The sequence below is a fragment of the Homo sapiens genome, chromosome 18, assembly GCF_000001405.40.
Source record: "Homo sapiens chromosome 18, GRCh38.p14 Primary Assembly".
In the NCBI taxonomy this organism is placed as follows: domain Eukaryota; kingdom Metazoa; phylum Chordata; class Mammalia; order Primates; family Hominidae; genus Homo; species Homo sapiens.
This window is the reverse complement of record NC_000018.10, coordinates 53456676-53478859: the sequence shown is the minus strand read 5'-3', so window position 1 is coordinate 53478859 and position 22184 is coordinate 53456676. Positions and strand designations below refer to the sequence as shown.

The 22184-nt window shown below is 38.0% G+C and overlaps 1 protein-coding gene across 5 annotated transcripts in view; it reads right to left on the bottom strand.

The window, feature by feature from the left end:
- DCC (DCC netrin 1 receptor) overlaps window positions 1-22184 on the bottom strand; it is a 1195703-nt gene that overhangs the window by 57040 nt on the left and 1116479 nt on the right. For all 5 annotated transcript variants that reach the window (NM_005215.4, XM_017025568.2, XM_017025569.2 and 2 more), the window contains 2 exons: window positions 19402-19628; window positions 10850-10966 (listed from right to left, as the gene is read on the bottom strand). In NM_005215.4, coding sequence (NP_005206.2) covers window positions 10850-10966; window positions 19402-19628 — 344 coding nt within the window. The remainder of the gene's footprint in view (window positions 1-10849; window positions 10967-19401; window positions 19629-22184) is intronic.

Genomic DNA, 22184 nt, shown 5'->3' with positions numbered 1-22184 from the left:
ACAGCACCTAGAGTCAATAGAACTCCAGTTTTAAAAATCTGCCCTTTCTCATGTAGCTTTATTTCACTTCTCAACAGCTTCTCCAAGTCACTGTTTGTGTTCTACAGCCAAGTGACTAATGCAGATGGTGGGAAAGGGAAGGAGAGCATTGGCTCTCATAGTGAATGTTCTAGAAAGCCCAGAAACCAGTAGCCATTACCATGGCAAAGTGTATAACTTCCTTTGCTTCAGTGTTTTTGCTAGATGTTTCAGGCTACCTTTTTGAGACTTCTTTTTCCTTTAAAGAATGATTTCCTTTTTTTCCCTCAAATATTTACAGAGAAAGGTAAGTGACAAATATATAAAATTCAAGATACTGCCCAAAAACCTCTCATACTTTAAATGATCTTACAGCTAATCTGCTTCAATCTATATCCTTCCTAGTTCCTATTCCCCTCTTCCTTTTCGGCATCTTACAAAAGAAGAAAATGGGTTGAAAATGGCCAAATAGTTACATCCGATTGTGCAATACCATCTAGAAATGTAATGTAGATCTAAATCTTTCTTCAAGGAATGCTCTCATCCAAATTAAGTCGCTCACCCAAGGCCACACCCCACTTCTTGGAAATAGCCTGCATGAAAGATTACTTGAGTCAGGATAGAGAAGGCCAGCCCCACTTGCTTCATTTAGGACAACCCTAAAGGACAGCCTCAGGTCAGCTGAGGTCTCCATTAAACAGCATCACCAGTTCAATCCCACCCTTGCCCCAATTCTGTATCCTTCACCCTCACTGGTGTTATTCTGTATCCTTCACCCTCACTGGTGTTATTCCAGAAAGCACTTAAGCCAATAAATCTCCTATCTTCCAGTCTCTGTTCTGACTTTTTTGTAATTAATTTCATTATAGTAAGAAACAGCATTTAAAATAATTTTTGGCCATTATACAAATAGTCAACCTTTGCCACCATTTTATGGTAAGGGTAACTAGGCTGGGGAATCAAAAGATTGGGGTTCATCTCCTGCCTGTGCTGTCAGCTGGCATGTTTTTCATGAGCCTCAGCTAATTTTACTGTGAAGAATGCTTGGGGATAAGGAGTAGCATATGCCATATAATATTTTCAACCAAAAAGTATAATATTAGACAAATAAGAAGATTCTGCCTTCCCATGAAATTAAATACATTTTCTCTGTGAGTTTTAAGAGCCAAAATACAACTTCAGATAACTTATGTTTTATCTGTTAACATTTTATAGCACATAATAAGAAATGTCAAGGAAGAAAGAAAATAACAATCTTATAGGAATAATGATTCCTCAATGAAATAGCAACGATCTTTATATATGTGACTAGAAATCTGAACAATGCTATGGCTTTAGTTTATACAAGGCTTGATACCCCAGTAAGTGTAAATAATTGCAAATGGGGCCATTATAAATTTATCTACTCTCCTGAATAAAATCATAACTCTGCCAAGATACAGATACAAAATTTTTAAACATAGTTACCTATGGCCTTATCAATCATCTCAGATGCAAAGGGCTATTTTATCAAAAAGTTTAAGAATTTATTTGGGCCAGGCACAGTGGCTCATACCTGTACTCCCAACACTTTGGGAGGCAGAGGCAGGAGGATCACTTGAGCCCAGGAGTTTGAGACCAGCCTGGGCAACGTGGTGAAACCTCGTCTCTTCAAAAAATACAAAAACTAGCTGGGCATGTTGGCTTATGTCTGTAGTTCCATATACTCAGGGGGCTGAGGCAGGAAGATTGCTTGAGCCCGTGAGGTGGAGGTTACAGTGAACAGGGATCATACCACTGCACTGCAGCTGGGCAACAGAGTGAGAGTCTGACTCAAAAAATAAAAAATATTTTAAAATTAACTGTGTTTATATGTTAAAATAATTTTCTTTTGTTGAATACAGTTTCACCAACAAACAGCTTGTAGATAACAATGAATGTGATGTGACCAAGTTATTTAAAAATATACATATTCTATTGTCTTTTTTCTCATTGAATTATAATATACACAGGGAAAATTGAGAATATGCTAAATACAGTGCTCAATGTTTTTCCAAAGTGAAATGCCTGGCATCTGTAATCCAGAACAAGAAATAACACATTATGAGAATGTGCCCTATAGTACCTTCTGGTCCACTAATCGACTTCCATCAAAAGTAATTGTCCTCCTGAATTCTAACCCTGTATTAGTCTGTTTTCATGATCCTGATAAAGACATACCCAAGACTGCACAATTTACAAAAAAAATAAATAAATAAGAGGTTTACTGGACTTACATTTCCACATGGCTGGGAAGGCCTCACAATCATGGCAGAAGGGAAAAGGCACATCTCACATGGCAGCAGAAAAGAGAAGAGGGCTTGTGCAAGGAGACTCTCATTTTTAAAATCATCAGATCTTGTCAGACTTATTCACTATCATGAGAACAGCATGGGAAAAACCTGGCTCCGAAATTCAATTACCTCTCACCAGGTCCCTGCCACAACACATGGGAATTCAAGATGAGATTTGGGTGGGGACACAGCCAAACCATATAATTCTGCCCCTGGCCCCTCTCAATTCTAATGTTCTCACATTTAAAAACTAATCATGCCTTTCCAATGGTCCCCCAAAGTCTTAACTCATTTCAGCATTAACTCAAAAGTCCACAGCCCGACATCTCATCTGAGACAAGGCAAGTCCTTTCCACCTATCAGCCTGTAAAATCAAAAGCAAGTTAGTTACTTCCTATATAAAATGGGGTTACAGGCATTTGGTAAATACAGCCGTTCCAAATGGGATAAATTAACCAAAACAAAGGGGCTACAGGCGCCATGCAAGTCTGAAATTCAGTAGGGCAGTCAAATCTTAAAGCTCCAAAATGATCTCCTCTGATTCCATGTCTCACATTCAGGTCACACTGATGCAAGAGGTGGGTTCCCATGGTCTTGGGCATCTCCGTCCCTGTGGCTCTGCAGGGTACATCCTCCCTTCTAGCTGCTTTCATGAGCTGGCATTGAGTGTCTGCAGCTCTTCCAGGTGCACAGTGCAAGCTGTCAGTGGATCTACCATTACAGAGTCTGGAGGATGGTGGCCTTCTTCTCACAGCTCCACTAGATGGTGACCCAGTAGGGACTCTGTGTGGGGGCTCTGACCCCATATCTCCCTTCTGCACTGCCCTAGCAGAGGTTCTACATGAGAGCCCCACCCCTGCAGCAAACTTCTGCCTGGACATCCAGGCATTTCCATATATCCTCTGAAATCCAGGCAGAGGTTCCCAAACCCCAGTTCTTGACTTCTGTGCACTGGAAGGCTCAACACCACAAGGAAGCTGCCAAGACTTGAGGGTTACACCCTCTGAAGCCAAGACCTGAGCTCTATTTTGGCTCCTTTCAGCCACAGCTGGAGCAGCTGGGACACAGGGCACCAAGTCCATAGGCTGCACGCAGCTCACAGACCCTGGGCCTGGTCCATGGAACCACTTTTTCCTCCAAGGCCTCCAGGGCCATGATGTGAGGGGCTGCTGTGAAGACTTCTGACATGCCCTGGAAACATTTCCCCTATTATATTGTGGATTAACAGTCAGCTCCTCATTGATTATGCAAATTTCTGCAGCCAGCTTCAATTTCTTCTCAGAAAATGGGATTTTCTTTTCTATTGTATTGTCAGGGGGCAAATTTTCTGAATTTTTATTCTCTGCTTCCCTTGTAAAACTGAATGCCTTTAACAGCATCCAAGTCACATCTTGAATGCTTTATTGCTTAGAAATTTCTTCTGTCAGATACTCTAAATCATCTCTCTCAAGTTCAGTTCCACAAATCTCTAGGGCAGGGGCAAAATGCCCCCAGTCTCTTTGCTAAAACATAACCAAAGTCACCTTTGCTCCAGTTCCCAAGAAGTTCCTCATCTCCATCTGAGACCACCTCAGACTGTATTTCATTGTCTGTATCATTATCAGCATTTTGGCCAAAGCCATTCAACAAGTCTCTAGGAAGTTCCAAACTTTCCCACATTTTCCTGTTTTCTTCTGAGTCCTCCACCAAACTATTCCAACCTCTGCCTCTTACTGAGCTCCAAAGTCACTTCCACATTTTTGAGTATCTTAACAGCAATGCCCCACTCCCAGAACAAATTACTATATTAGTCCATTTTCACGCTGCTGATAAAGACATACCTGTGATTGAGCAATTTACAAAAGACGTTTATTGGACTTACAGTTCCATGTGGCTGGGGAGACCTTACAATCATGGCAGAAGGTGAAAGGCACGTCTCACATGGCAGCAGAGAAGAGAAGAGAGCTTGTGCAGGGAGACTCCCATTTTTAAAACCATCAAATCTTGTGAGACTTATTAACTATCACAAGAATAGCACAGGAAAGACCTGCCCCTGATTCAATTACCTCCCATTGGGACCCTCCCACAAGACATGGGAATTCAAGATGAGATTTGGGTGGGGACACAGCCAAACCATATTAAACCCCATGGATTATTTTACTGATTTTCTAATTTTACATAAATTGAATTATATAGATGCATCAGGTTTCTTTATTGCAAATTTACACCCATGAGATTATCCATATTGTTTTGTATAATTTTAGTTTATTTTTATTGCTGCATTGTACTCCACTATATGAATATACTATATTCATCTATTGTAATGAAGATGTGATATTACAAATAACCCACATTCTTATATGCACCTGTTGACTAATATTTTATATATTTCCATTGGGTACATATCCAAGAGTAGAATATATCTAGGAATGGAATTGCTGAATCAGAATATTCTTATAAATTTTGGAAAACTATGTGATGGTTTAAAACCATGTATGTGTTGTTATCTGATAATTACAAAAATAACAAAAATTAATTTCTGGTAATTTTATGGGTTCCATTCATGTAGAATAAGTCACTAAGAGAAGATTTGTTATTTTAGGCCTACAAAAACTCAGAGCTCAAGATAACAGTATGAAGCAATATAGTAGAGTAGATGGATCAAGCAGGGGTTTCAAGTTCAGACTCTCAGAGCCTCAGCTTCCATGTTTAGACAATGGAGATAGCACCTTCAGAAAATCTTTTTGAAAAATAAAAGGATATGAATAATTTAGGAGATAAAAGCCATATTTATCTTTGGAAAAGCAGTATACCGTAGAGGTTCTGAAGTTGCCCAGGTAGCCTAGAGGAAGTTGCTTAAGCTGTCTGAGTCGCTGTTTCCCATGTGTAAAATCAGGATAATCTTACCACATGATAATATTGTGAGGATTAAATGAAAATAATAATTAGCAAGGTATTTACCAAGTGAATAATATTAAACATTTTCATACTTGTTAGATTTTCTTTCTCTTTCTAAGCCTCTTATTTCCTTTTCTGTTTAATGAAAACAAGTTTAACTGCTCTTAATACATCAGACAATTTTGTTAGATGACATTCTATTTATAACTGACAAAAAAAGAGCTCTCCAAACATTGATGTGTTACAAACATAAGGAAGGCATTTTAATAATACATTTATTTGTTTTTTCATTCGACAGATATTTAGCAAGCACCAATTTTGTGCTAGGTATTAAACAATAAAATGTGTGAATATGAAGATGAATTAGATACATTACATCCTTATCATGAAGTAATTCACAAGCTGTTGGAGGAGGGAAGATTTGTACTTGAAAGCCTAAGCATATAAGGCAGTATTGTGTGTAATAAATGCTATATCGTGCTACAAGAACATGTTATTCAAACATATAAAAGGGAGTCATTATTTCTAGATGGAGTAATCAGAAAAGCATTTGTAAGAGCATCAATATCTACTCTGGTCTTTGGAGGATACATAAAACTTCTTAGGTTGAGCTATCCACTGAGTCATTTCAAAAGGAAAGAAATATGTAAAGGGAAAAAACAAATGAAGGACAGTGCATATTTGTGGATCAGCAATGAGTCTACCTTAGCATGAGTCTGGGTACATATAAGGATAGAGTAACAGAAATCTAGATTCCAATATGATATGCTAAAAACGTTTTTAAAAATTTGTTTGGTTTGTTTTGTTTTTCTTGGCAGACAAATGGGAGCCACTGGAGAAATGTATGGGGTGGGATGCCATGTTTAACTTGTTTTAGGAAGAAATCTGGCAAGCAGGATGCCTAAGAGTCTGGAAGATGCTAGAGCCGGGAAGACTTAGCTAGGAAGCTGTCTTGGCAGTTTAGATGTGAAGTCACAAAGAAGACATAAAAGAGTTGAGAATGGGAGGATAGCCAGGGATTCAAAGATACTGTGAAAGAAAAAGCAATGGCATATGGGAATTTATTAGATGAGGAAGATATTTCTAATTAGATGGGACAGGAAGGCTCCACAGATTCTAAAGTACAATAATGTTTGAGAAGAAAGCAATAAATGATTGGCACAGATAGAACTTAGTTATTAATACAAGAGGAGTGCAACTAGAGGGGAAAAAAGGCAACTAAGTGCACAGTATCTTTCTCAGTAGTGAAAGGTATAAAAGATAAAGGACAATAGCTTCACAGGGTATGACAGCTAGGAGCATAATGATTAAGAACACTGAACTCTGAAATCAGACCTTTTGAGTCCAAATTCTGGCTATAGCACGTACTAGCTGTGTGACTGCTAGCTAGTTACTTAAACTCTCCAATCCTTTCTTCTCTCTCTAGTAAATGAGAGAACCTAACAATGAGACGCATAACAATAGTGCTTACTACATGACTTGAACAGCTGGCATTCATTATAAATGCTATGTAAGTTTTTGCACTTATTATAGTAAAATTGAGAGAAGATGTAATGGAGCATAGGGAGGATGTGGCATATGGTAAGTAAAAATAAACAACTATTAATTCTTTCATTTGACTAAATGGTATTGAGTGCATGCCTACCATGTGCCAGGTGCTGTTCTGGGTATTGGCGACTCAAAATGACCAAAATAGGCATAATCCTTGCCCCTATAAAGATTATATTAAAATACAGGAAGCAAATAAATAACAAACACAAAACCACAAATAGAATAGTGTAATGCATTAAAAAAGAAAAATGAAGCATAATAGAGAAGTAGAGAGTGACCAGAGATGCTGTGTTAGGCAATGGTCAGGGAAGACCTGCTTATAAAGGTGGTAGTTGAATAGAGACCTGAAAGAAATGGGGGATAAGACATGTAAATATCTACAAAAAGAGATTCCAAAGACTACAGCAAGTGCAGAGTCCCTGAACTGAGATATGCCTATTATCCAAGGAACACAGGGGAAGGTTACATGATTGTAATGAATTACAGAAAGGAGCAATAGGAGATAAAGTGAGGGATAAACCCAGAGACTAAATCACATGGGACCTTGTAGAACATAGTAAAATTGGTGGATTTTGTTTCTACATGTGATGGAAGTCACAGAGGAACAACATTATCTAATTTATATATTGAGAGACAGCTGTGTAGAGAATTGACTGTAAAGGCAAAGGCTAATGAAGATTAATGGGTACAAAAAATAGAATGAATAAGACCTACTATTTGATAGCACAACAGGGTGACTGTAGTCAATAATAACTTAATTGTACATTTAAAAATAACTAAGAGTATAATTGGATTGTTTTTAACAAGAAGGATAAACACTTGCGTGGATGGATACCATATTCTCCACGATGTGATTATTACATATTGCATGCTTGTATCAAAACATCTCATGTACCCCATAAATATATATACCTACTATGTACCCACAAAAAATACGAATAGTTTTTTTGTTTTTCAAAAAGCTAAAGAAGAGACTAGTTACAAGCTTATTGCTGTAGTCTAGTAATCTGTAAGAGATGATGGTAGCTTGGATAAGGGCAAAACAGTGAAGGTGGAAAAGAGTGGTCAAATTTGGGAAATGTTTTGAAAACAATAATTTGGTAAAAGACTGAATTTAGGGTATAAGGAAATCAGAATGAAGAGGCATGAAACTAGAGTTTCTGAACAGAGTAAGTTGATTTATATAATTTGGCTCTGTGTCCCCACCCAAATCTCATCTCGAATTGTAATCCCCACATGTCAAGAGAAGGACAAAGTGGGAGGTGATTGGCTCATTGGGGCAGTTCCCCCCATGATCCTCGTGATGGTGAGTGAGTTCTCATGAGATCTGGTGGTTTTATATGGGGCTCTTCCCCCTTCGTTTTTTCTCTCTCTCTCTCTTTCCTGCTGGCTTGTGAAGAAGGTACTTGCTTTTCCTTCACCTTCCGCCATGATTCTGAGTTTCATGAGGCCTCCTCAGCCATGCAGAACTGTCAGTCATTTAAACCTCCTTTGTTTTTTGAATTACCCAGTCTGAGGTAGTATCTTTATAGCAGTGTGAAAACGGACTAATACAGTAAATTGGTACCACAAAGAGTGTGGCACTGCTATAAAGATAATCTGAAAATGTGGATGTGACTTTGGAACTGGGTAATGGTCAGAAGCTGGAACAATTTGGAGGGCTCAGAAGAAGACAGGAAGATGTGGGAAAGTTTGGAATTGCCTAGAGACTTGATGAACAGTTTTGACCAAAATGCTTGTAGTGATATGGACAATGAAGTCCAGGCTGAGGTGTCCTCAGATGGTGATGAGGAAATTATTGGGAAATGAAGCAAAGGAGACTCTTGCTATGTTTTAGCAAAGACTGGTGGCATTTTGCCCTTGCCCTAGAGATCCTGCCTCAGGATAATGTCCTCCAGGATTCATCAGCATTTTAATAATATTTATTTAAGGCCATTGATACTAGATGACATTATCTAAGAAGCAGGTGTAGGGAGAAAAGAGAGGATACCTGAAGACTGAGCCCTGGGGCATTCTCTGACTCTTAGAGATCAGGAGGAAGAAGAGAAATAAATGAAGGATACTGAGGAGGAGCAGCCAGAAGGGTAGGAAGAAAACCAGGGGCATCTAGTACATTGCAAGCCAAAGAGAAAGTGTTTCAGGGAAATAAGTGAGAACCTATGTCAACTGTTTCTGAGAGTATGAGACTTGACCATTGGATTTGACAATGTGGAGATTATTGACAACCTTGGCAATCATGGATTCAGTGGAGAGTGACTGTAAAAATCTTATTAAAACTAATAAGAAAGCTTAGATAGAGGAGAAAGTGCAGATAATTTAGAAATTTTTTTCAGTAAATATGGTTTCAATTGGAGGGGGAAGTGGCATTGAGTGTTATAAAACAGGAGTTATGACAGAATATTAATATTTGTATGCTTACTGCAGTGATAAATAAGGAAAAAAAACTGATGATGCAGGAAAGGGAAGGAGTAATTACAGAAGAGTCCCTAAATGGGTGAGAGGGGATTTCAACAAGACACTCAGAGAGCAGCACTAACAGATCAATTAGATTTGATGGAAGGACAAGGATACCACTTTCTGAATGCTTTTCTTTTCTTCCTGATATAAGATTATTAGCTAAGAATAGGGAAAGATGGGAGATACTGAAATCTGAAAAGTAAGAATACATATAAGACATTCATCTTATAAAGTGTAACTATGAACCACTAGAGAAATACAGTGTCATTTCCAAATAGTGAGAGCTCACCTTGGACTTTTGGTCATAAATATTCAGTAAGCAGGCTATATGTTTTTCTCCAGATACATTTAGCTATGAGGGAATGGGGTAAGAATTGGGGAGCTGCTTATTTTACCAGGTTTTTTTCAGGCGAGTAAGATGGGGAAGGAAGACCAAGGGAGATGAGACTGAAGATAATAAGTGACTATAAAACCTAAGTTAAGCTTGCAGATAAATGAGGACACGAAGGGGATGAGGGATGGGAAGAAATGGCAGAGTTAATGGATTGGAGGTCCTGGTGGGATTGAAGAATTGATGGCAAGGGGGCAATAAAGTGAGCAGGGAACTAATAAGGTAATAGGAACTGAGATTTTGTACTGGTTTGATTTGGTGTGACATGGAATTTATGAATTGAGGTGGGAAGGAATCAATATCTTTGCAGGCAACATAGAGGAACTAACCATCTAGGGTATCAGATGGATTATCTGCATGAATACTGTAATTACCAAGACTGAGCATAGAAGTAATGGGAAAGGAAGTGATTCTCAGATAATAATATCTTCAGTGAATGTGGGAGGATGACAGAAAACTTCAACAAGGGGTGTGTAGTAAGTGGGTGTCTGTCAACATCTGCTTTAAAGGAGCTAGATTATTTAAGTGTGAGAATTAGACTCATTAAAAAGTTTATTTAAAAAGCTATGGAGGATGGGTGCAGTAGCTTATGCCTATATTCCCAGCACTTTGGGAGGCTGAAGAAGACGGATCACATGAGGTCAGGAGCTAGAGACCAGCCTGGCCAACATGGTAAAACCCTGTCTCTACTAATAATAGAAAAATTAGCTGGGCATGGTGGTGCATGCCTGTAGTCCCAGCTTCTTGGAAGACTGAGGCATGAGAATCGCTTGAACCTGGGAGGTGGAAGTTGCAGTGAGCCAAGATTGTGCCACTGCACTCCAACCTGGGCAACACAGCAAGATTCTGTCTCAAAATAAATAAATAAATAAAATAAATAAATAAATAAAATAAATAAATAAATAAATAAAAATAAACTATGGAGATGATTATTAGAATAAGATCAATAATATTAAAATATATATCAGCTCTTTTATGTGAATTCATATATTTTACAAACAATTTCTTAAATATATATCCATCTGTTTGCCAACAGACCATCTGATTGTATACAAAAAAATACAGTAACGAATGAAGACTTAGACTTCAAATTATTAATGATACGGTTTTAGTCATTCCTCATTTCCATTTGTCCAGAAAGTTCAGGGAAAATTATAATTACTTTTGATAATTTGATTTTTTATAGAAAAGATACATACAGAAAGCATTTCATTTCTTCATTGTGGCACCAATATTGACTCACCAGGATTGTTGGACTGGGCATCCATGGGAATCATGAGCTTGGCCCGGGGGGCTCGGCGTGCAGCCAGCGACCTCTCCAGAGTGGACATAGAGCTCCCTGCTTCCTCAGTGTCTTGACCTAAAAAATACACACTCCTGAGAAACATGCCCTCTTCAAGGATGCAACACTTTACCTAATTTCTAGCAGGCATTCCAATGCCTTTTCAGTCTTACAGATGCTTTCTATGATAGTATCTACCTTCTTGTTACCTGAATCTATTTCATTGTACAAATCTTAATGAAATTAACCATAAACTCTAAACTCATTGCATACAATAAACCATTATTTATATTTTGATGCTTATAATTTTTGCATATGTTTATACATGTGAAAGTGGGAGAGCGTACATTAATATATTTTTCAAAAATGGCATTATATCATGCATACTTTTTGTAACCTGCTATAAAAGGTAACACAAAAATCTTTCTCTGTTAATACATAACTCAGTATAATTTTTAACAGCTATGTAATATTCCACTATATTAATTTACTAGAATTCATTCAACTAATACTTTAAGCCCAACCATATTAAATTTTATTACAAAAAACCCACAAGAAATAAACTGCATTCTTCAAAAATAAGATCAGACATATTTACATAAATTTATTAGGATTCCATAAAATATCATACTAAAGAGTCACTAAAAATTAGAAAAAATGGATATATGCAGATTTGAAAAGTTAATTATAATACGTATTAAAAAAACTGAAGTTCTGAATAGTGTATGTTCCCATTTGTGTAGTATGCATATAAAACCATATTGTGACACACATTTCTATGTGTATATGAATATATATATATATAAGTACACACCTATATCTATGTAATAAGGTTATACACAAAATTTTTAACATTGTTTTCCTTTTGCGAAAGGGATTAGGAATTTGGGATAGGCAAGAGGCAAACATATGTTTTACTATTTTGGGTACTTACTATTTTTTGAAACTTTTTTATTCTTTTTATTTTTTATCATATGCATGCATTTTTTAAAAAATTAACAGCATAATTACTACAATTTAAAATAAAAAATTATACTGGGAGAAGTCCACATAGGTGAAGTCATGGAAGCTTCCTAAATCTAACTCTGTCCACACATCCTACAAAAACTACACAGAATCATATAAAACAGTAAACTACGCAAACCTGGCCAGGCATGGTGGCTCACGCCTGTAATCCCAGCACTTTGGGAGGCCAAAGTGGGCGGATCACTTGAGGTCAGGAGTTCGAGACCAGCCTGGCCAAAATGGTGAAACTCCATCTCCACTAAAAATACAAAAATTAGCTGGGTGTGGTGGTGGCTGCCTGTAGTTCCAGCTACTTGGGAGGCTGAGGCAGAAGAATCGCTTGAACCCAGGAGGCGGAGGTTGCAATGAGCTGAGATTGCGCCACTGCACTCCAGCTTGGGTGACAGAGAGAGACTCAGTCTCAAAAAATAAAAGTAAAAATGAACTATGCAAATATTACTCCTTCAGCAGAATCACAAAACAGAAAAGAGGATACATTTCAAATTTCCTGTAAGTACAAAGAGAAATAATACTTTCTAGCAAAGCTATTTCTCAAGCTACAGCCACAAAGTCTTTGTGAAAAGCCAGCTATCTGGAAAGTCTGTATAGAAGAGAGAAGAGGGAAATAAGGATCACAAGACTGACCTAAAACCATCTACCAAAGAAGTGCACCCTAATGGTAAAAATACTAAAAAAGTTTCCTAGGAGACCAGAGCATTTAAAAGTGTGTGGGTTTTAAAATGGCAACCACTGAGTGTGTAGCTCATGCCTGTGATTGCACCTGTTATGGAGGCCGAGGCAGGAGGATGTTTTGAGACCAGTCTGTTCAACAGTGAGACCCCATCTCTAAAAACAAAATAAACTAAAAGAAATAAAGTGGCAACATTAGAAAAGCATCGCTTTGGCTGGGCGTGGTGGCTCATGCCTGTAATCCCAGCACTTTGGGAGGCTGAGGTGGGCGGATCATGAGGTCAGGAGATCGAGACCATCCTGGCTAACATGGTGAAACCCTGTCTCTACTAAAAATACAAAAAATTAGCCGGGAGTGGTGGCATATGCCTGTAGTCCCAGCTACTTGGGAGGCTGAGGCAAGAGAATCATTTGAACCTGGGAGGCGGAGATTGCAGTGAGCTGAGGTTGTGCCACTACACTCCAGCCTGGGCAACAGAGTGAGACTCCATCTCAAGTAAATAAATAAATAAATAAATAAATAAAAAGAATAGAAAAGCATCAATTTTGGGGAAAAATTATAGTGTCCAAAGAGTCAATAAAGAGGAAAAAGGGTGTGAAACTGAAAAATATTTAAAGAATTATTGGCTGATATTTCCAAAATTTGGCAAAAGACATAAATAAACCTTATAGTTTCAAGAAATTCAGTAATCCCCGAACAGGATAAAACCAAAGAAATCCATACCAGACACATCACAGTTCAGCTTCTTAAAACTACAGACAAGAACAACAAAAAAATCTTAGAAGTAGTGAGAGGTAAACAACTTATATGGGTAAAACAATTCAAATGACAGCAGATTTCTCATCAGGAATCATGAAGGCCAGAAGTATCCAACACATTTTTCAAGTGCTAAAAGAGAACTACCAAACAGAATTGGGTTAACAATATCCAGCAAAAATATACTTCAAGAATGAAGGTGAAATCAAGTCATTGTCCAATGAAGGAAAATGAAGAGAATTTGTCTCAAGCAGATAAACCATCAAAAAAAAAAAAGCTAATGGAATTTCTCTAAACAGGAAGTAGTAAGAGGAATCTCAGACAATCAAACAGGAAAAATGAACAACAGAAAGAGTGAAAATATCAATTAAATACAACAGACTTTCCTCCTCTTTAGTTTTCAAAATTATGTTTGACAGTAGAAGCAAACATTAAAACACTATCTAATGTGCTTCTTCTTGCCACTCCAAAAAAGTAACTCTAGATCCAACCAGTTTTCTTTTTCTTTTTTTCTTCTCTTTTTTTTTTTTTTTTTTTTTTGAGATTGAGTTTTGCTCTTGTCGCCCAGGCTGGAGTGCAGTGGCGTGATCTCAGCTCACCGCAACCTCTGCCTCCAAGGTTCAAGCAATTCTCCTGCTTCAGCCTCCCAAGTAGCTGGGATTACAGGCATGTACCACCACGTCTGGCTAATTTTGTACTTTTACTAGAGAGGGGTTTCTCCATGTTGGTCAGGCTCATCTCAAGCTGCCAACCTCAGGTGATCCGCACACCTCGGCCTCCCAAAGTGCTGGGATTACAGGTGTGAGCCACAGCTCCCGGTGGTAACATAGTTTTCAAATAAGTCCTTTGATATTGTTGGGTGTCTGTGTGTGGGTTTTCAGTTTTTTTTTTTATTCTAAAAATAGACTGTGCTTGATATTACATGAATTCATTGAAAAGTTAAACAAGATTTTTTCCTTTTACTTTTTTTGAAGCATAAAATTTTTTGGTAGTAACACTTTGTGGCTTGTCTCATAAACTTGCCACCTGACATTATTTACCATTGGTCCAAATGAGGTTGGGAAATTTAAATACAGGATTTAATAGACATGTATATAATTCAAAATAACTAATAAAAAGTTAAGTGTTAAATCACATTGCCCATTTGGTGTTATGTAGCTCTTTTATAGATGTTATTCACTGAATTGAACATTTTTAGAAATTGAATACTACCAAATGCCACATGCTGAAATTTACTTGTTCATTCTTCCGAAGTGAAGCTAAGTAACATAATCCTGTGGTGCTTCTGTAGTGAAATTAGACTAGGATAAATCCATTTCAAGAAACTAAATTCTATTTGTAAGTCCTAGAGATCAAATAGACCTGAACTCTTTCGTTTCTTTATTGTAAACTTTTAAGTAAAGAAAATAATTTTGAAATCCACTAGATGTAGAAGAGATGTATCATGAAGCAATAACTTATCATCTTAATTCCTAGATATTTTAGTGGCATCCTCTATTTTTGTGGTTAGAGAATGAAGTAGGTTTTGTTTAAGCAGTTTGCATACCAGCAGTAGGGAAGAATGAGTAAAATAAAAAATTAACTCTCAATAAAATTAGTTGTTGTTGTTTATGCAGCAATTGCTTGATTCAATTCTCTTTTCCATAGCTAAAGTATGAATACTGTAAACTAATTTCTGGTTTTATCCAAAAAGCTAATTTCATGGGCGCAAAACAAGAAAAGTACTTATATAAAAGTATTACATGAGTTAATTGAAACTGGATCAACAAAACATTAATTTGGGGTCAGATTTTTTTGGTCCTGGCTGTGATACTAGCTCTGAAATCTGGGCACATTATTTAACCCTTCTTAATTTGGTTACTTCATTTACTATATGAAAAGAATGATAGCATCTACCTCAAAGTATTTTGTGAAGATTAGGCAAAATAATGTATAAAAGTCCAAATCATAGAATTTAACATACAGTAATCTCTCCTTACATAGTTATTGCCTACTCAGGAACCCCATTGTTAAATATAATGTTTCTTGGTAATGCTGTTCACTTATGTTGAATTTTGTTTTTTTAAGCAGGAGAGAAGAATACTTAATTTAACATAAAGTATAGCTTGCAGGACTTTGAGGATTACTTTCCTTTTGTTACAAAATTGGCAACGAGGTCCTCAAATTGAGGACAAGTAGGCATAAGTACTCTTTTATTTTAAAGAAAACAGTCATCATTTGGGATTAAACCTTCCCCCAGGACTTATTAAGAGATATCAACTTAATGTCATCTCAGTATATAAAAGACGAAAGGAAAAGGTTAGAAGGATGTGTCTTAGAAGTCATTGGCAAAACCTCCTTAGGGCAGTGAGGCAATTCTATCCCTTTCAGTGGGAGGTGGAGGTGCTCTCCCCTCCCTGATATCCAGTCAAGAACAAAGCTAGAAGAAGAATCACTTGTAAAATATGGAGGTTCCTGCAAAAGGGATTTGTTTTCTGTCACTCCCCAGGCGAAAGCCTGTTTAGGCAGTGGGCTTGCTGTTCTACCCCGAGTCTATCTAAGCAGAGGAAAAAGTAATTGAAGAGAGCAAGGTTGAGAGAGGGCCAGTGGTAGAGTGCAAGCTCTCTCACCATTGGGTCTGGCAAGGATATAGGAGATTCTTGTGGGCCAAGTGGGCATGTGAAAAGTTGGCTGGGCTTCAGTCCCCTTGCTGGAATTTCCCAGAGGCCTCATGACGGAAGAGGAAGAGCTGTGTTAGGTGGTAAGCCTGGACTTCATGTCTCCCATCATGGAACTGGGCCTGGTCTACAAGGCCCCACAAAGCAGCCATTCCCAACCTTTTTGGCACCACGGACCAGTTTCATGGAAGAAAATTTTTTCATGGACCTGGGGGCAGGGGGCAGGGTACGGTTTCAGGATGATTCAAGTATATTACCTTTATTGTGCACTTTATTTCTATTATTATTACATTGTAATATATAATGGAATAATTATACAACTCACCATAATGTAGAAGCAGTGGGAGCCCTGAGCTTGTTTTCCTGCAACTAGATGGTCCCATCTGGGGGTTATGGGAGACAGTGACAGATCATCAGACATTAGATTCTTATAAGGAGCGTGCAGCCTAGATCCCTCACATGTGCACTTCACAATAGGGTTCATGCTCCTATAAGAATCCAGTGCTGCTGCTGGTCTGACAGGAGGCAGAGCTCAGGCAGTAATGGGAGTGATAGGGAATGGCTGTAAATACATATGAAGCTTTGCTCTTTTGCCCGTTGCTCACCTCCTGCTGTGTGGCCCAGTTCCTAACAGGCCATGAACCAGTACTGATCCATGGTCCAGGGGTTGAGTACCCCTGCCATAAATAAGTCATACTTCTGTTTCATAAGAGACCCAGAATTTGGATACCACATAGAGGTTAGCCCACGTGTCCACAAAAGCTATGAAGAACTTCAAATGGTACTTTCTTCTCTTTATCCTCACCTCCCCTCCCTCTTCACTCCATCCCTCTTCTCTCACATGCTCAGGAAAAGTGGAGAGAAGGGGAAAAGATGTAACAGTGTTTCTGAAACAGACTTTGTTCCAGCTTCTTCTCAATCCCACCGTTCCATTTCACTCCAATGTACTGGAGGATTGAGAAAACAAATTCTGACCCCCAGTCCCTAGAGCCAAATATCTAGCTGAGCATGAGAAAGGAGAATCTTTAATTAAATTTCAGATGATAGTTTTTAATGGAACTAGACTGTCCTTCAATAACTGGAGTGACAAGGAAGTTAGGAAATCTGCCTAAGACATCATTTGAGAGCTTGAAAAGAAATATTCAACAATCCATGGTTGACAGTCAATACTTGTATTTCTTGTTTATGCAATTCTGAGATGACAGAGTACAGTAAAACAGCAACACATTCAAATAATTCACTTTAAAAACAGGAAATAAAGCCACATATCTACAACTATGTGATCTTTGACAAACCTGAGAAAAACAAGCAATGGGGAAAGGATTCCCTATTTAATAAATGGTGCTGGGAAAACTGGCTAGCCATATGTAGAAAGCTGAAACTGGATCCCTTCCTTACACCTTATACAAAAATCAATTCAAGGTGGATTAAGGACTTAAACGTTAGACCTAAAACCATAAAAACCCTAGAAGAAAACCTAGGCATTACCATTCAGGACATAGGCATGGGCAAGGACTTCAGGTCTAAAACACCAAAAGCAATGGCAACAAAAGACAAAATTGACAAATGGGATCTAATTAAACTAAAGAGCTTCTGCACAGCAAAAGAAACTACCATCAGAGTGAACAGGCAACCTACAAAATGGGAGAAAATTTTTGCAACCTACTCATCTGACAAAGGGCTAATATCCAGAATCTACAATGAACGCAAACAAATTTACAAGAAAATAACAAACAACCCCATCAAAAAGTGGGCGAAGGACATGAACAGACACTTCTCAAAAGAAGACATTTATGCAGCCAAAAAACACATGAAAAAATGTTCACCATCACTGGCCATCAGAGAAATGCAAATCAAAACCACAATGAGATATCATCTCACACCAGTTAGAATGGCAATCATTAAAAAGTCAGGAAACAACAGGTCCTGGAGAGGATGTGGAGAAATAGGAACACTTTTACACTGTTGGTGGGACTGTAAACTAGTTCAACCATTGTGGAAGTCAGTGTGGCGATTCCTCAGGGATCTAGAACTAGAAATACCATTTGACCCAGGCATCCCATTACTGGGGATATACCCAAAGGACTATAAATCGTGCTGCTATAAAGACACATGCACACGTATGTTTATTGAGGCATTATTCACAATAGCAAAGACTTGGAACCAACCCAAATGTCCAACAATGATAGACTGGATTAAGAAAATGTGGCACATATACACCATGGAATACTATGCAGCCATAAAAATGATGAGTTCATGTCCTTTGTAGGGACATGGATGAAACTGGAAATCATCATTCTCAGTAAACTATGACAAGAACAAAAAACCAAACACCACATATTCTCACTTATAGGTGGGAATTGAACAATGAGAACACATGGACACAGGAAGGGGAACATCACACTCTGGGGACTGTTGTGGGGTGGGGGGAGGGGGGAGGGATAGCACTGGGAGATATACCTCATGCTAGATGATGAGTTAGTGGGTGCAGCGCACCAGCATGGCACATGTATACGTATATATCTAACCTGCACATTGTGCACATGTACCCTAAAACTTAAAAAAAAAAAAAAAAAAAAAAAAAAAAACAGGAGCTCCTCATTCTATAATCACATTATGAGTAGACCAAGGGATTTTTTGATGATAGTATTTGGTTGATGATTCCCATAAGCACTTAGATAATATGAAGACCCAGAGAAAGTGAACTATCTTACAATTATTTTCTAGTGTTCTTACTTATCCCTGGACACCAGTGATTGTTCTGCACCAATTCATTGAACAGTAGGCTTTTTTTTTTTTTTTTTTTCAGATCCCTTTGTATAACAACATAGTTTTCAGACAGAATCCCATCAAACTAGTCTGGGGATCACATAAGGTGACTGTATGTGGATGACAGTTGATTTCCATAGTAATCAAGGCCAAAGTAACAGAATATTCAGTTTTTTTGTACTTCAAGTGCCCTGATGTGATTTTTAAAACAGGGAATTGACAGTAAATTTAGAATTAACTTTCAATTATCTATCGAAATAAGGAACTGGAAAATGTACAGATGGCTTCAAATTTTATTGCCTTGACAAAACATTTGTTTAACAATTAACAAAAAGCAGTCAATCCATTTAGGATTTAAGTTTCTGTATTTCCCAACTGTCCTACTTCCAACCTCATAGAAAATTCAAGAATTATCAAAATTATAAAAGAATTATTAAAATTATATCAAGTCACAGGATGAAGAAAGACATATAATTGGTTAATCAACCAAATTTATATTAGATCCATTTAACTATTGATAAATGACCCATAATGACATGCAAATTAGTAGGGAAGACATTTCCATAAAAGGAGTGAAAAACTCCCTTGGGTTCAGAATGGTATGTTTTCCCTAATGCCAGTGAAAAGATAATTACCTGAATGAGAGGTGCTTTTGCTTCCCAGTTGGGTTTCTGACTGGCTGTGGCTGACTGGTGTGAGGTCTTGGCAACTTTGGATGGGAGAGTCCCTTCCTGCAGGGTCAGTGCCAGATGGCTTTTCAATATTTTTCATCTCCATTTCTTCATGATGGATCCAAAGATCAGGGGGTCGGAGGTCCTTCTGGCTGCCCTTCCTTTTGCCAGCACTGTGGGTGGCCCGTTTCCTATGGAACAAAGTTAGAAGGCAAATGTGAGAACCTCTATTCAATGGCACTTCCTTTCTTTCATCAGTCAATTCAAGTTAGAAGCAGGAAAGGAAACAAAAGGACTCGCAGAATGAGCCCTGTGAAACCCAGGAATTGGCAGACTTGTCTTGGCTGCCTTTCCTCTTCCCCCCTGGAGCTTCACCACATTATAAAGGATGCAGTGCTGAATCCCCAGGGCCTCGGCTTCCTGGCAGAGAGCTCCTTTCTCCAGCTTCAGCGGCTGCAGATTCATGTGCAAGGTGAAAATGGGTTAGATGGAACCATATGCCAATCTTTGGAGCCAGGCATAAGGTACCTGATGGCAACATCTGTTTAGGAGATAAATGAAGGAGTTGCTTTGAAAGGGCAAATAGAAATAAAAAAGGCCAGAATTTATGCCAATAGCTAAGATGAGGTCTTAGAAGAAAGTCTATACCTCAGCTGTATAATTTAATGTGCAACTGGGAAACTTGTTATTTGAAGACAAAAGGCCACATGAGGATATTCTTAGGAGAATAAAACACTTTTGCCTTGGCATCACTGAGTGTCCAGATTCAAACACAGTGAGACAGATCCTTTGAAAGGAGAAGAACACAGTTTGAAAATGTATTTCACATGTTTCTTATTTGCCTCAATAAGGCTTTAACAACTATAAATTTATTTTTGGGGTGATAATCTCTTCTTGAGGCTAGTGAGATTAAATGTTCCCTGTGTGATAAGTGAAGTAACACAATGTTCATGTTAGTCATTCTCTACAGCAGGGGGTCAGTAAACTACAGTTTGCAAGCCAAATCTGCCCACAGCCTAGTTTTGTAAATAAAGTTTTATTGGAACATGGCCAAGCTCATTTATTTTTGCACTGCAATGGCAGAATTGAATAGTTGTGACAGATACTATATGGCTCAAAAATCCTAAACCATGTATTATTTGGTCCTTTTCAGAAATCATTTTTGACCCTTTCCCTAGTTTTATAACTTTTAAATCTCTACTTGTAACTTCTATTTCTTTAAAAATAATGTCTCTTGTAAGAAATAATGCAAACTGTTAAAATCTAGTTTTGACAGCAGACTAGAGAAGCATCTACTTCCCACTTCCTTAATTTGCAGTGAACAGTTTATTATAATAACTACCTTCCATGGCTGCTCAATAGTTCATACAAGCTACTCTCAGTGAAAACACCTGTAACCTGTGCAAAGTCATTGGAGTGGCTTTGGTTTTCCGATGATGAATAAGTAGCTTTGTAAATACTAGGTAATTAATAAATATTTGGTGGTGTAATTTGTTGAATTTTCCCTGACATCCTTTTTTTTGTCTTTCTTGAAGCGTGCTGATGAGGATAGGAGATAAAGAATCCCAGACCTAGTATCTATTTTGTATTTTAGCAGAGAAAAAATAACACTACCTGCACTTTGCTGATTTCCTGGTGGCAGCCCCACAATGTTTTAAAACAATGGTCTGAAACAACCCCTATTTTCTAAGTGTCTATGTGTCTAAGATAATAACTCACTGATAACCATTTATTTCCTGAATTCATTTCTATATACTTCACTTGCCCACGGCAAACTGATCTGCAACTCACACACAGCTCCCTGTGTAATCTACTCCTGGTAACTTCATAGAAAATGTAATGTCATTCTCAAACTTGGATGTTTCACCCTGTTATCTCTCTTTCTAGAAGATCAAAATGCTAAATAACTTAACACCAGCATCTGTGTGGCTGCACACAGAGAAGTACCAGTTCCCAAATTCAGGAAAACATAGCCAAACTCCTTATTTAACTCAATATTTAAATAACCTGGAATAAAGAAAGTAGTCAAGATAAAATTGAAACCAGCAATAAATTACAAATTCTGGTTTCCCCTTGCTTACAAGCATGCCTTTTCACTTATTCATTTATTTGCTAGTTTCCATGACTTCAGTACCAACGAGCCCCAGATGGCTTCTGTTTTTAAAAGAGTTCCAAACCTGGCAGAACCTTTTTGTATGTTGTGATTCATAATCTCCACTGGGGAAGAAATTGTAGTTCCTCATAAAATGAACAGGCATTTTTCTGCTGGATTTTAATCAGATCAAGACAAGTTCTAAGAAGTTGCTCACCCACCCAGCTGACTGTCAGTCAAGAAGCTAAAGATCTCTAAATAGACTTTATTTCCTTTTTGTATTTATTCTAGCCATGACCATCTAACCACTTTTATTTCCTATCGTATCTCTTATTAAAGGAGAAATCTTTGGCCTTGGAGAGCCTCTCCTTCTTTTGTCCCTCCAACCTCTACCACAGCAGGTTTGTAATAAAACTAACATGTGCTCATAATTAAATTGTCTGAAATTTGTCTTAAAACCTATAGGAACAGGTGTCACCCTGACCTTCTGCCCATCTGTTGGTTCTTGACACGACTGCTGCTCATTGCAGCCCACGGTTCCTGTGTCTCACCATTAGATTCTTCGAAATGTGTATTCAGGTGCTCCTAGTACAGTGGTTGCCAAAGTGGGGTCTCTAAACCAGAGGCATCAGCACTGCCACTGCCTGGGAACTTG